Below are 14776 nucleotides of genomic sequence, written 5' to 3'. Positions count from 1 at the left end.
TAAGGCTAAAGAATCTGACACGTCTGCTTACTGACATATATATATATATATATATATATATATATATATATATATATATATATATATAAAATATGTAAGATATGTATTAAAAAATATGTGAAATATCACCTGAAACTTTAAAATTTACTTTTACATTTATTATTCTTCAATAAAGTGAATAAGGTATGGACTTTTGCAGTGATAAAAAGAATACTTCTGCCAGCCTTTCTACTTCACAGCTGAACATAATCACTTAAATGAACCATCATGCACTTAGACTGCAAACATACTCCCCTTACTTTTGTAGTACAACCATTTGTGCCCATTGAATTGTAAGTTCCAAAAAAATCTGACTCTGGCTTACTCATTAATAAATGTTCAGTACCCACATTTTTGTGGGTACTGTGTTTTGCTGACAGTAGATGCTCAGTATATTTTTAATAATTGAATTGATTAAATTGTTTATTTTAAGGTCTCTTCAATAGATAATCAGAACTTGAAAGAGAAGTGTAAATAATAGCAGCATCTTCTTTGTACTTTGAAACTACATCTAGAAAGAATGACTGTAACGATGTATTCCTAATTTGTATATCCAAAGACATTTCAGGTCTGCTTTAGTACGATGTCATAGTAGGGTCACATGTACAATTAGACATAGACTTTCAGAGTTGAAAGGATCCTGAAATGTCATTATTCCAGCTTTCCATCCAATGCTTGAGTTCCTTCTGTAGCAGTTGTTCTCAACTTTTGCTGTATATTAGAATGAGTTGGCAAGTTTTAAAAATCTCAGTGCTCAGGTCCCACCTCAGCCCAATTATATGAGAATTTCCAGGGGTGAGACCTAAGCATTGATATTTTTTTAGAACCCCATAGGTGATTCCAGTGTGCATTCAAGGTAGAGAGCTGTTGTTCTACAAGATCTCTACAAAATGTTTTTCCAATCTAATTGAACTCCTCTGAAGATGAGCACCTCACTACCAAAGTTTGACTTGTGTTTATTCCATTTATTCAAATAATAAGTATAAGAGTGTTTAAATTATAAGCTGGTGAAGTGAAATAACACAAATCAAGCTCACCAATTTTAATACTCAGCTGTTGATAAACAACACTGAAGAGTGACATTTAAATTTGAATTATCTTCTTTGAAGTAGCATTGCAGCACTTTTGAATGACTTCCAAAAGGCTGATCATAAAAATCACTTCAATCATTTTCAAATTTTACTTTAGCAGCAATGAAGTTATTTGGTATGACTCAGATGAACCTTCTGCTCTGTCTTGGAGTTATTATGGTCATTTCATTTTCTGCAACCTGGGGAAACAGAGAAGGGATGAGCAGACTTGTTTTTACATGTACCTTACATATTTACCTTACAGTGTTTATAGTTAAAAGTTAGGCACTTTCAGAAATGTGCTAGCTTCACAGGAAGGTAATTTACCATGTAGAAAATTTCAAATATACTGAAAAAATTGAGTGGAATAGTGAAGGCTTGGATTTTGTAAAGCTCTTTGATTTTAGAGAAGAATTTTCAGAGGAAGCGCCATGTGACCACACACACAAACACGCAAGCCTGTATTCTTGCTTAGGAACTTATCTGTCCTGAGACCATCCACCTGTATGACAGCTCTTTTGAGTACCTTTACATTTTTGGTTCTTTAGTAGGACCTGGGTACGAAAAGTCAATATATAACATCACTGATAAATATTTAAGTAGTTCTAAGGTCTTAAGAGCTGTGTTTGAGTTTCACCTCCCTTCCTACTCATGGTGTAGCCTTGGGTAAATTATTATTTTCAGCCTTAGTTTCCCTATTTTTACAGTAGAAAGAATGCCATATATCTTGTAGGAATGTTATGAAGATTTATAGTAGTAATGCATATAAAGCTTCACAGTAGCCCCTGCGTTGTAGAAAGGGCTCGTGGACTTAAATTTTGTGATACATTGGAATACCAGCATTGCTGGGCAGACTACAATGACGATACATTTTCTTGTTTTTCCTGACAGTGGTAGGAAAAAGTCCTGAGACTAGTTCTGTAGAGAACATCATCTGTATGCTCCTTTATAAAAAAAAAACTATTCTGAGACATGATCTTAGATTGTTCCTTTACCAAAATGAGTTTCCTGTTGGAAGTCCTAATGCCACAGCACATGGGTAAACATGGGTCTCTTTAAGAATATAGAGGATAGGGGATGGTTGACGCCCTTAGATTTTCTCTGGGGAACCAGGAAAGCTAGCCTTTCTAGTGGCATACGTCAACCAAGACTTTCCTGGCATGTCTTCATCGCTAGTCTTCTCGTCTGCTGCTTTGTAGAGTTGCCAGATAAAGGACAGCCATTTAAATTTGAATTTCGGATGAATAACTAGATTTCTGTTAGTATAAATAGGCCTCAGATGTTGCAAGGGACTTTTATATTTATTCATTATTTACCTGAAATTAAAATTTAACTGAGCATCCTGTAGGTTTCTTATTTTTTCTAAATCTGACAACCCCTACCTACGTGCTATGTAGGAATTTTGGGGTTAGATGTTGGGCAGGTTTTATCCTAGACTAATACATTACTATTTTTGAATGAAGTAGAGAGAAATACTTCTTAGTAAGTGAAAAGACTAAATTATAGCATTAAAATGGATTCATTGGTTAAAATACTACAAATATGATTGTTACAAATTAATATCAATAAAGAAAAGTAGACGATGATCCAGATAGAAGAACATCTTCCTACTTATCTGATCCCAAGAACTTCAGGGAATCTTGAACCTAAGCATCTTCCAACTACATACTTAAGGCATATTAAAGAGAATGTGTGATAGTATAAGTATATCCTTTTTAAAGAAAGTCTGAAATTAAACAGGGTTGAAGTTTGATTATTCTTTGTTTAAAGCTTGTTATGTACATTTTATTTACATATATTTTACATATATGTTAGTGTAGCAATTCCTAATTACTCCATAACACACTGAATTCTCCTTTCTGTAAACTTGTAAAGCATTTACTTTGTTATTCATTTATTCATATTAAGTAAGCATCTTATTTAATATTCTTGGCACATCGATCTTCTATGTGCCAAGAATTGTGCTTAGTGCTAAGGGTATAAAAATAAGAGCAAATCTCTGTCCATGTGGAGCTCATCATACAGCTCTGGAAACAGATACAATATTGACATTATAATGCAACGTGACAAGAGCTATAACAATGAAATGAATTGCTTCTGAGATCCAGAAAAAGTAGTCTGATGGAGGTTTCACTGGAGAAGGGACATTTAGACTGGATTTTCTAGGATGAATAGAAGTTTGCTGGCTAAGAAGGGAATAAGGCTATTTTAGGCAGAGGAGAGAGAGAGATAATGAGTAAAAAAGAATAAAAAAACCCTCAAACCCAGCACCCCATCCTGTGAAATAACCTGTTGTGACTTGGAACCAGTGAGAAGATGGCATGGGGAGGGGCATCCTGGAAACAGGGTAGAATGTACAGAGTTGGTGATTCGATTTAAAGACAGGCAAGAGGAGCCCATGAAGAACATTTTGTATCAGGTTATAAATTTTGTTTTTATTGTATAGTCAACAGGGTTTTAAATAAGACTGAGGCCTTAAGTCGGTAAGACCTAATTGTTTGTTTCAGGAATATACCTGGAATATGAAATAACACGTGGCCAGAAATTATTGCAATAGTTCATGGGATACATGAGGACAATAGGAATAGTGTAGTTGCACTAGAAGTGGAGAGATCTTGAATGCAAGACATTTCTAAGTTAGAATTATTAGGATTTGAACAATTTTTCTGTTGGTTTTTTTTTTTTTTGGTATGCGGAAGAAGGTATGAGGATAAAAAATAGGGATAGTTCATGTATGTGAACTATGTGTGTTATTTCCTTAAGGCCTTAAGGTCATTAGAGGCAGGGTTTCTCTCCTAACAAACAGTACTCAATACATTCTTGTTCAATTTAAGAAGAAACACAAAATGTTTAAGATGGGTGCATTTGTGTGTCTGTACTTCATTATTATTTTGACAAATCTAGTCGGTATTATAAGAATAACAGGATGCACATTGGCAAACCCATTTTTTATCTCACTTAGTTAAATAAAATAATCCAGTTGTCTGACACATAATGATTTTATCAAAATTAACCTTTGTCTTTGATAACTTCTGCCCTGTGATTGTTATCATTTACTTTAAAATATAATCATGGCCAGGTGTGGTGGTGTATGCATATAATCCCAGCTACTCAGGAGGCCGAGGTGGGAGGATCAAGACCAACCTGGCAACATAGTGAGACCCCATCTCATAACAAACAAACAAAAATATTTGTATCAAAACATCACATGTACCCCATAAATATATGTATGTATCTATTATGTACCCATAATCACTAAAAATTTAAAAAATAAAAATATAATAATGTATAGTTCTTTTCATTTTTTAATGTGTCAATAGAATTGTTCTTTGATGCCAGGCATGGTGGCCCACAATTGTAATCCCAGCACTTTGGGAGGCCAAGGCAGGGATCACTTGAGGCCAGGAGTTCAAGAGCAGCCTTAGCAACATAGTGAAACCCTGTCTCTACAAAAAATTTAAAAAATTAGCTGGGCATGGTGGCATATGCCTGTCATTCCAGCTACTCAGGAGGCTGAGGTAGGAGCATTATTTGAGCCTGGGTAGTTGAGGGTGCAGTGAGTTGTGGTTGCAACACTGCACTCCAGCTTAGGCAACAAAGCAAGACCTTGTCTCAAAAAAAAAAAAGATTTATTCTATTTGATAGTTAAAGAATTCAATGCTGGGTAATTCTGAGGCAGACCAAATTGTGGACTTTGAATTCGTAGTTTTAGCTTTGTCGCTCAGCATTAAAATCATAAAACCTGAGACAAAGAAGCAACAAGCAGTAATGCTTTATATGTAAGGACTTTCTTGTTCCAAGAAATGTATCACCTTATATACAACACAATGTACTATTTAAATGTAACATAAATTATATATTCCTATGCATTATTTTTCTGTTCATGTATATTTTTATATTCACAAATGCTATTTGTGAGTCGAGTTTTACATGGGTGTATTAAGGGAGGCACACCAGTTGATGAGGTCTTGTGTGAGGTCTTTAAACACACCCAGACTCTAAGGCAGCAATGGATAACCTTGAACAGGTAAGGAGCAGGTGGCCTTAGGGTAGGGAGAAAGTGCGACATTGTAACATCCCTTTGGATAATGTCTGCAGCCAGATCCTGTGTCACCATGACTCAGCATCGAACAGACATTGATTGCACAGCATAAGGAGCACACAGGAGGCAAAGCTGGTCTGTCACATGGCAATTAGTTTGAGACACCACACCTGTATTCCCACAGCACATCTCATTCCCCCATATCTTTGGCTACCACAGAGGAAAGCAGAATGGATCTGGGCAATTTATTGTCTTACTTTTGTTGAGGAGAGGGAGAGCAGCAGAATGCATGCTGTTCCACTTTTTCTGTGCTGCAGTGGGCATATTGGTCATTGCTGGGAGCCCTTCAATGAAGGACAGTGACAGAACACCAAAAAGTGTCAGGAGCTTCCATGTGGCTGAAAAACCACATTCAAAGGACATCAGCCAGTGTTCTAGTGTTAGGCTGTGACTTGGGCATGTAAATGGGCCAATGATTCCAGTTTTGCATGGAAAAGACACATGATTAGTTTTTCAGTGAGGAAGTAGACAAGTTTTACTAATCTGTTGACTGAGAGGTTATAATATACTCATGATGAAATCTCTCTGGAGCAAGTCCTGTGAAACAGTGTAATGACTTGGCACAGGATGGCTGGATTCGCTTTAAAAAATTATTATTATTCATGTTTATTTAGGTCCAAAGGATCCATTATACTTCAGCTTTATATGCTATTAAATTTAGAGATGACACAAGTCAGGACACATCTTACATAGTTCCTTTCATGGGACAAAAGACCTGATAGAATAAGGTGGCATTTATGGGCCTTTAATATCAACATTACAAAAGAAGGGGAATTGCATTTTCTTTATATGTAAGAAAATAATGACTAATTTAGAGTAATTCTGAAATGAAATCATGGCATTATTGTCAGGATTGGTAAATCTTTTAAGCTATTATCATTTCTGTCATGCAGCTGCATTCAATGTCTTAAGTAGGCAATGTGATATTTTCACAGGAATTATCAAATAAACTCAGTATGTTAGCTTCTCAGGGACTCTGGAGCTTTGAATATAGAGGAGGAGAAGGTCCGATGAGGGGAAAAAGACCTTCTGAACCCCCCGTGGTCATAATTCCAGGGAAAGAAGGAGAAGAAACTTAAATATTTATTAACTCCTTACTGGCTGTTAAGATTTTTAATGTATTTCATTCCCTTTAATTTTGAAAGCAATTCTGTGAGTTGAATATTATTTCGATTTTTTTGCTAATGAGAAAACAAGCTCAGACAAGGTGAACAGAAACTGACATATTAAAACCCCTATCATGTAGGTACTGTGTAGGAAGTTAAGATGTATTTTCTCATTTAATTATCAAAATAAGTATTATTTTATGTACGTGAATTAAAATAGGCTAGATTATACTTTGTTAACAAATAGACCCCGAATCTCAGTGGCCTAGTAATATAAAGGTTTATTTTTCGCTCACACAAAGTTTACTCTGATGCCAGGGGACTTCCCAAGCCAGTTCCTCCTGTGGTTCCTTGGCAGTCGAGGCCAAGGGAAGGGAATTAGCACCACGATGCGGTCACACTCCCTGGAATGAGGACTCCTTGCTTGTTGCCGCAGGGAAAAGTAACAGGAGAAGAGTGCATGGGTTCTTAAGGCCTCAGCCCGGAACTTAGGCACGTCCTCTTCCCTCTTAGTCCATCGTCCGGGGTCTAGTCACATGGGCTCACCGCACCGTGGGCAGGCTGGGAATTGCGAGAGAGAAGATGGATAGCAGTGACCCCAACTGGGTCTGCCATGGCACTGTCACCCCCATTTTAAAAATGAGAAGACTGAAGTTCAGAGAGGTTAGATCATGTATCCTTGATCACTTCCTTGGTGATCTGTAGACTTAGTTCTTGAAACTAGATCTCTCTCAGTCCAAAGAATCTGTTTTTTTGCCCTCTACTCCATCTTACCCGACACACACTCCGAGTAATTTGGTGGTTTGGAGTTAGGTGTGGATCTGTGGTCGCCAGCCTTCAAGATGGCTCCTGTCATCCTTGCCTCTTGGGGTTCATGCCCTTGTTGTTCCCTCTGTCAGTGAATAGAGCTGACCTGTGTAACCAGTGTGGTATTGCAGAAGGGACAAAGTGTGACTTCTGGGACTAGGTCATAAAAGACAGTGGTGTTTTCATGTGTCAGTGCTCTCTGTTGGATCACTTGCTCTGGGGAAAGCCAGCTGCCATCAGGTGGGGACACTAGAGGAGCCCCAGGGAGCTCCCATATGGCAAGGAACTGAGACCTGCTGCCAACACCCAGGACCAATTTGCCATCCATGAGAGTGGGCCGTCTCGAAAGTGGGTGAGTCAACCCAGGTCAGCCTTCAGATGGCTGAGCCCAGGCCAACATCTTAACAGCAAACTCATGAGAGACCCTGGGCCAGAACCACTCCACTAAGCTGCTCCCAAATAATTCTTGACCCACAGAAATTGTGTGAAATGATAAATGCTTACTGCCATTTTAAGAAGCTAAGTTTTGGGGTAATTTATTATGTGGTAATAGATAACAGTACAAACCTTTTTGGATTATTTCCTTTCTCTGTGTTTTTCCCTCAACTCTGGGACAATTCCTGCTTTTAACGGTGAGTTTTTAAGTTAGCTAAATGAGAAAGTAATTGCCACACAATGTTATTAAATTTTAGTTAAATACATCTTATTATTTACTTTAATCTTGTAGTTCTAGGCAAGCTCTGTATGAAGGTCTATACTAAAAAATGATATACTCTGCTAGTTCAGAAGAGAGAAGTTTTGAAATTTACTTTCCATCAGATGTGTATTTTTCTGTTTTAAGATATTACCTGCTTGAGATTATTTTATAGTTTAAATTACATTGTGAAGTTTTGAGAAAGAACAAGCCAAGTACATTTTTATTAAGAGTTTACTGTCAGGAGGAAGACAGAATCTAGAAGTAACCGCTTTTTTTTTTTTTTTTTTTTTTTTGCAAGGAGAATGTGGTCAGTGTTTCAGCCAGTGCTTGCTGCTGAGGCAGGAGAGAATAATTGTGTAAAGAGGGGGCTCCCGCAGTGCAGGACAGGAAGCCACCATGTGAGCACCACATCCACGTGCAGGTCGCAGGCTTCATCATGTCCTGAATACCATGCCTTAGCATTTTATGTGAGTAATCTTAGATCATTCATCAAAGAACAGGTTATGTTTACAAATATAATGGTTTTAAGGAATATTATAATTCAGCATCTTGACCACTGGTACTGGTACGACATGTTATAATATACTGTGCTTTTAAGTATTTCAGTCACTCATGATTTACTCTTTAATGTTGTACAATGTTTCTGAGATTGTCTCTAAGCTGGGCAATCTTGTGTTTCCCAGGGTACCAGGAGGGGAAGACTGGGTACGAGTCAGTAGTCTATGAACTCCAGTGAAAGGCAGCAGGATACAATTTCTATTTGATTTAACATTCTCTTAATATCGCTGTTTTAATAACCTTGTGTTGGGTGAGATAAAATTTTCTTAATGAAAACCTTTTCACTAACCATTGATGCCCATTTGCTCCCTACCCCCATTAACAAACACTTCCTATATATGCACTCTAAACTTTCTATCTTAGCTTACTTTTTGACAGTTGGGCAAATGACAGTGGAGAGAACATTGTTTAGATCAAACAACATATTATTGTTGGAAATATGGCTGTCTCATAGAAATATAGCCAAGTCAGGGAAATAGTGACTATATATTATATTCACATATACAAATTTTGTAGGTCTACATATACAAAAAATACAGACACATATACATTTCCACATATAACTATATATAAACTATATATAACTATAATTATAACTATACACACACACACACATATATACATAAACAGGTTGGAAGTAGGAGATCCCCAAGGAAGTGGAGACTGAAATTCAGACATGAGGACCTTAGCAAGGTGAGTGAGACAGAGAACTGATGAGAGATTCCGTGAAGGAACATCTAACAGATTTTAGTGGACAAAGCAAAACAAGGAATCAAAGATAACGCAAAAGTTTCTAATGAAAAGTCATACTTTAACAAGCATGGGGAAATATAATTACAAAATTTTGATATACATAATAATTTTTATGAGTAGAATCCAGAGGGGTGGCTGCAGCAGGAATTATTATCGCCGTTTTGTAAATGAAGAAACCGGCTCAAAGAATTCTAATTGATTTTTTTAAGGTTTCATAGTTAGTCGAGGATAAAGCCAAAATTGGAATCTGGGGGTGTTGACTTCAGATCTTTCCATTTCCATGGATTCCTCTACTGGCTGTCCAGGCATGGCCCTCTAGGATCCATGCTGTGCTATCCTGTCATGCCTAGGCTGTGTGTGTGTGTGGACTTTCCCGATTAGAGGACCCAGACTTTGAGATTCTCAAAGGGGCTGTGACTCGATAGAGCTTAAGAACTTTGTTTCTCCCTGGTGACTGCCTGGCTCAAGGGACCAAAAGGATGCCGAAATTAGAGGGATGGTCCTGCTTAATAATTAGATCATGGAAAATTACATTCCCACAATGGAGAAACCTAGTGGTGTAAAGACAAAAAATAGCAAGAGCGTTGGAAGTTAGGTAAATTTTTAAGGGAAAAATCTTACTTGGGACTGGGCTAACTCTGCATCCCACTTAGGGAAACAGGTCAGACTGAACAGTTTAGGCCACATGGATGTTATGACTAAGCAACAGTTTTGCATCTCGCCCATATGTGTGCGGTTTCCAGTTTTTTGGACATTTCTCCCATAGACAGTTGTTTTTGCGCTGTGTTGTGTGCTGATGCTCAACTGCAGAGGAACTGAATGGAGAAGTTCGGAGAGACCGTGGTTTCTGACCACTGGCTGCGGTGCTGTGGATGGTTCCAGTGAAGGGTGGATGCCTTTTGTTGAAAACTCGCTTAGACTTTGTCATCAAGGTCTGTCTCTGCCATTGTATAATCTAAAGTCAGATCTGTTTATACTTCGTAAGTATTGTTGGATTTAATTGGCAATATATAGAAATGTCTATTGAGAAGTCCTTCAATTGCCATAATTCCTTTTTTCTCAGGAGTAGTAAATAGGAAATACTCTTAAGCATGAAATAGTGAAGAGCTAAAGTGGGAGGGCTGGAATTTGAAACTGCCTGAACAAACTCAGTCTGTAGAAGAACCCCACTACTGTTGGAGTTACTGTGAATATGTGAGCAACCTTCTAAGGCTGAATTGAGTCCACCATGAAGTTGTGGCCTGTTATACACATTTCAAAACCATGAAAACAAATTGGAATGAAAGTAGTGTCATGCTAAAGCATCCTGGTTGCTCTTAAACCTCAAGCGTGGTGCCTGGAAACATATTTTACAGCACAAGTGCTTTTGATCATTTGAGTGTTCACTAAGGAAATCATTGCATTGCATTATTACAGATGTGCACATTTGTCCTGTTGAAATTGACTTAAAAAGTTTAGTGTAAAATCCAGTGGCACTTACGGCATCTTCCTTATAATAAAAAAGTAGCAATAACACAATTTCCTTCAGATCCACAACCACGTACCTGGGTACCCAAATGATCTAAAATTGTTAGCTTAGTTCTGCCTCCATCTCAGGTGCAAACAAGGAAGCTGAAAGTGTGTTTGGGGGCTAAGATATTCAAATGCAACAAAATGGTAGTCAAGATCTTTCTTCAGGAAAAGATCCATTGAAAGATGCTTGACCGGATCCTGCAGGGCACTGAGTTCCATTCCCCTGAAAAATGGAAATACCTCCCTGTTAAATGTTAGACATGAAGGTAAAGAATCTTGGCTATACATTTGTGGAAGACAGATAGAGAAGAAATCAATCAAACTATTCAGAGTGGCAACAGGACAAATAAAGAGCTCCCAACAGCGGTCACAGGCAGATGATGGAGACATCACATTAGAGAAATAAAGAATAATATATTTTCTCTGGTTCAAGAAATGCCTTTTGTTTTTCCTTCTTGCATGATAATAATAAACATTAATCTTAATGGCAGAATCCTGCTATGGGAAAAAGAGCCTTTTCTAACGGAATGCAGTGGTGGTGTACTGGAACACATAGTGTTCTAATTGAGCATGTACCATGCCTACATTTTTAGAGCACTTTACAGTTTACAAAGCTCTTAATACTTCTTATCTCATCCAAATAGGCTGGAGTCCTATTTCTGATTTCCCAGTTGACCATGTGAAATACAGAAACTTGCTCAACCTCTCTCAGAATCACTTTCTTTTCCTTGCAAAATGAGGAAATTAATGCCATCCCAAATGAATATTTTCTTTCTAAATCAGTGAATAAGAGTATGTTTTCTCTATAAATAAATTAGCAACTCTAATAACTGGAGGTCACAACTGATCTAAATGTTAAGTCGATTAGCCATTCAATTTGAATTTCAGAGTATATTAATTTTAATTGTGATTGGTGCAAAATTACATTTCGATTTCTTTGTTACTTAAACATTTTTCTTTCAGATGTGTATATCGCTTAAAACATTGAATTTTATTGTATTTCATGTTACCACAATGAAATATTATTAAAGTCAAGTCAGTTTTTATGCCTTAATGGTTTAATATTCTTAACATGCTCACTATTTTTCATGAGTTTTTTTCCTATAGAAAGTAAATCATTCTCTTTTTCAACACTTCAATAAAGTAACCTTTTCCATGTGGATTTAATTAACATGTAAGTTTTTCCCTTCATGATATGATTAGATAAAGATAGTTATTATTTTAATCTGATTTTGAAAATTTTACCCTGCAAAATCGTTATTTAAAATTTGATTTTTTTTTCTATACTTGTATGGACTTTAGAAATGAATACCAAAATAAAATTCTTTTCTTTCTTCTTTTGGCATTGGATAAAATAGTGGTGTGGGGACCGTGGGTTCTGTTCTCACTAAACTCATAATTTTATGAGAAAGAGAGACACAGATTTATTGAACATACAAGTGCTAAGTCAACAAAGTGCTATTGTACATAGAGGTAACAGCTGATTTTGCCTGCAGGCAAGATTAACTTACCCCATATCATTCTGTTCATATTGCAGTTATCCTGTTGATAAGATATTATAATGAGTAAAGTTTCCATCTCCTCTGCTAAATATTTAACCTCTTAGAGCAGAAGCACTTTTATTTATCTCAATATCTCTATTCCTTACCTTGAATTATGCTCATTAAACATTTACTGAATTCAGTTTGGTGGAGAGAAGTTGGAAGAGTCCATAGAGGAGATAACATTCAGCAAATGAGATAATACTTGACATAGGCTTGAATAATAATGAGCCAGAAAAAGGATAAAATAGGGGTGAGGAGGAAAGTACAGTCCCAGCAAAATCACGAGGGAATGAAAGCTTGTAAAGTATTTGTAAAAGGGTGACCTAGTGTTAGGAGTGGCTAGAAATGGAGATGAAACGGTTAAACCCAGGCCATAATTATAAGGGCCTGGACTATCATGGCAATGAATTTAGAGTCTTCTGGAACAAACAGATCACATCAGTTTCTGGCAGTAGTGAGGACACTGCCAGCAGCAGTGGCCCCAGGAAGAAGGGCACGACAATACTTCAAATAAGAAGATGAAGTCCTGAACCAAGGCAGTGGCCATGGAAATTGAGAAGAGGACATGATACCAAGAGACAATGAAGACTGAAGGAGACTGGGCTACTGACACCGTGAAACCACCATGTCAGCCCTGGACTGCTTTTCATGTCCACACTGTTATTTGAGAGATTAAAAAAAAAATCCTATCTTGTTCAAGCAAATGCTATTAGGTTCTCTGTTATATCAGTTAAAATCATAACCTAATGAATACAAGGAACACATCCAATTGGTTCAGTTTGGAAGATGTGAAATCTGAAGTTGTTTTAAGGGTCTAGAATTCAAAATAGTGTTCAAAGGTAAAGACAAAAGTTTGGAAACGAATCCCACATGAATTCATAGCTGAAACCATGGAACTGAAGAACAACAGCATTTGCAGGGAAGGCAAATAAGGAGGGAGTGGCAAACGGTGCAGAAAACATTCAGGGAAAACAGAGCAGCATTTCTGGAAGTGGATTCTGTTACAAATTCCTATAGTACTGGCCTGTACGTGTGCTATGAAAGAAAATTCACAACCAACACAGCTTGGCTGGAGTCTGAGACCTAAAATCCCCATGGCCAGTCTACATCTTAAGCACCATTTCCTAAGACATTTTGGCACCTGAATGTTTTGAACATTTTGGGCATCAGGCTTTGAAGCCAGGTTAACTTCCGTTCTTCTCCATGCTGTCTTTTCCAACTTGATGTCCTTCAGGTGAATAATATTCTGCCTGTTCTTGGCTCACCTCCTCTCCTGGACCACAGACAAGTCCAGGTGAAGAGTGCTGAGCCTCTGACTTTCTGTTGATGATGACATTTGCTTTTCTTTGAAACCGCTCTGATTTGATGGTCTGTCTTGAAATGAGATGCTCAAAAAAGAGCATATCAATTAATATTGCTGTATTATATAACTTTTTAATTTACAATCAAGACACTGAGATACCATTTGCTTAGTAATTTTTACCTGGAGATCTTAACATGCACTCTTTTTTTTTAAAGTTCTCCAATTTAGACAGGGATATAATTTCACTGGGAGATATTTTAGAATTACCTTCAAATGATACAGCAATCTAATCCCTTCTTTGCTTTGTAATTTATGGCCTTCTTTGCTTTGCAATTTGTGGCTCGTGTGTGTGTGTATGTGTGTGTGTGTGCACGCACAAGTATGTGTACTGTCCAGTGTTTAGAATGGAGTATACAGTGGGAACTGGCTTGGTTAAGACACGAGGACATAAGAATTGTATTTTGACTGAGGGTAAAAGTCCATCTAAGAAGTGTTCTCAGACAGGTGTGAATGGTTGACTGGACAGTCTGATAATTTTGCTCCTTGAAATTGACTTCAAAAGGTGTTTGTATTCTTCTCGCTAATTTTTCTCAACTTACTGTGGAGGTATTACCTGTGATTTATGTAAACTCTAATTGAGAGTTTATATTTTCATCTTGTACTATCTCTTAAGGGTAATCATTTTACCAAGTAGCTAGTACTGCATGGGATACTATTTTATTTGTCTCATAATTATTTCCTTAATTTTTAATGGACACAGTCAAGCTCTGTCATTTCTTTTTAACCTGCTCTACCTCATCCATGACAGGGAAAATTTTCAGTCACGATGCTGCCATCTAGATCAACATGCTTGGGTTTATTTACCTTTGAGCAGATATAAGTAGCACACATTTTGGGGCAAGTAATTTAATTATTTTGTAGGCTAATTTTCAAATATGTAGACTGTTCCCAACAAGATCATCTGGAAATTGTATGCTATGCCATAGTTTTAAAATCACCACAAGCTGACGAAAGGGATGATCTTGATCCTTCTTCAAATGAGGATTTTGCACATAGCATATCCTTTTTGTGTGTATGCCAAGATAGTGGCTTTAAGTAGTATTAATTATTGCTTAATAAGAGTGAAGTTAGAATGGCTGAAGGGGCAAATGAGTAATGAATCCATATTTTTATGTGTTATAGCTACTTCTGATATTTATAGCTCTTTAGCTTTGTTTTAAAGACATCATCGTGTTTTTTGGTTGAAATTATATTTTTATTCAAAATCCAGTCTACTCATTCTATG

The 14776-nt window shown here is 37.1% G+C and overlaps 1 protein-coding gene and 2 long non-coding RNA genes across 17 annotated transcripts in view; 2 read left to right on the top strand and 1 right to left on the bottom strand.

The window, feature by feature from the left end:
- Positions 1–14776, top strand: part of FGF14 (fibroblast growth factor 14) — a 691640-nt gene that overhangs the window by 27711 nt on the left and 649153 nt on the right. For 2 of the 15 annotated variants that reach the window (NM_001321946.2, NM_001321949.1), the window contains one exon: positions 8120–8288. The exons of the other annotated variants lie outside the window; for them this stretch is intronic. The gene's annotated coding sequence lies outside the window, so the exon portion shown is untranslated. The remainder of the gene's footprint in view (positions 1–8119; positions 8289–14776) is intronic. 15 annotated transcript variants of the gene reach the window in all.
- Positions 1–14776, top strand: part of FGF14-IT1 (FGF14 intronic transcript 1) — a 102200-nt gene that overhangs the window by 19787 nt on the left and 67637 nt on the right. The window contains exon 3 of the long non-coding RNA NR_036486.1: positions 8120–8288. This is a non-coding gene — a long non-coding RNA (FGF14 intronic transcript 1). The remainder of the gene's footprint in view (positions 1–8119; positions 8289–14776) is intronic.
- Positions 1067–7203, bottom strand: FGF14-AS1 (FGF14 antisense RNA 1). The gene is made up of 2 exons (NR_125912.1): positions 7092–7203; positions 1067–1309 (listed from the first exon to the last, which is right to left on the bottom strand). It is a non-coding gene; the product is annotated as an FGF14 antisense RNA 1 (long non-coding RNA).

The sequence above is a fragment of the Homo sapiens genome, chromosome 13 (genome assembly GCF_000001405.40).
Source record: "Homo sapiens chromosome 13, GRCh38.p14 Primary Assembly".
Classification (NCBI taxonomy): domain Eukaryota; kingdom Metazoa; phylum Chordata; class Mammalia; order Primates; family Hominidae; genus Homo; species Homo sapiens.
This window is presented reverse-complemented; position numbering and strand designations above follow the sequence as displayed.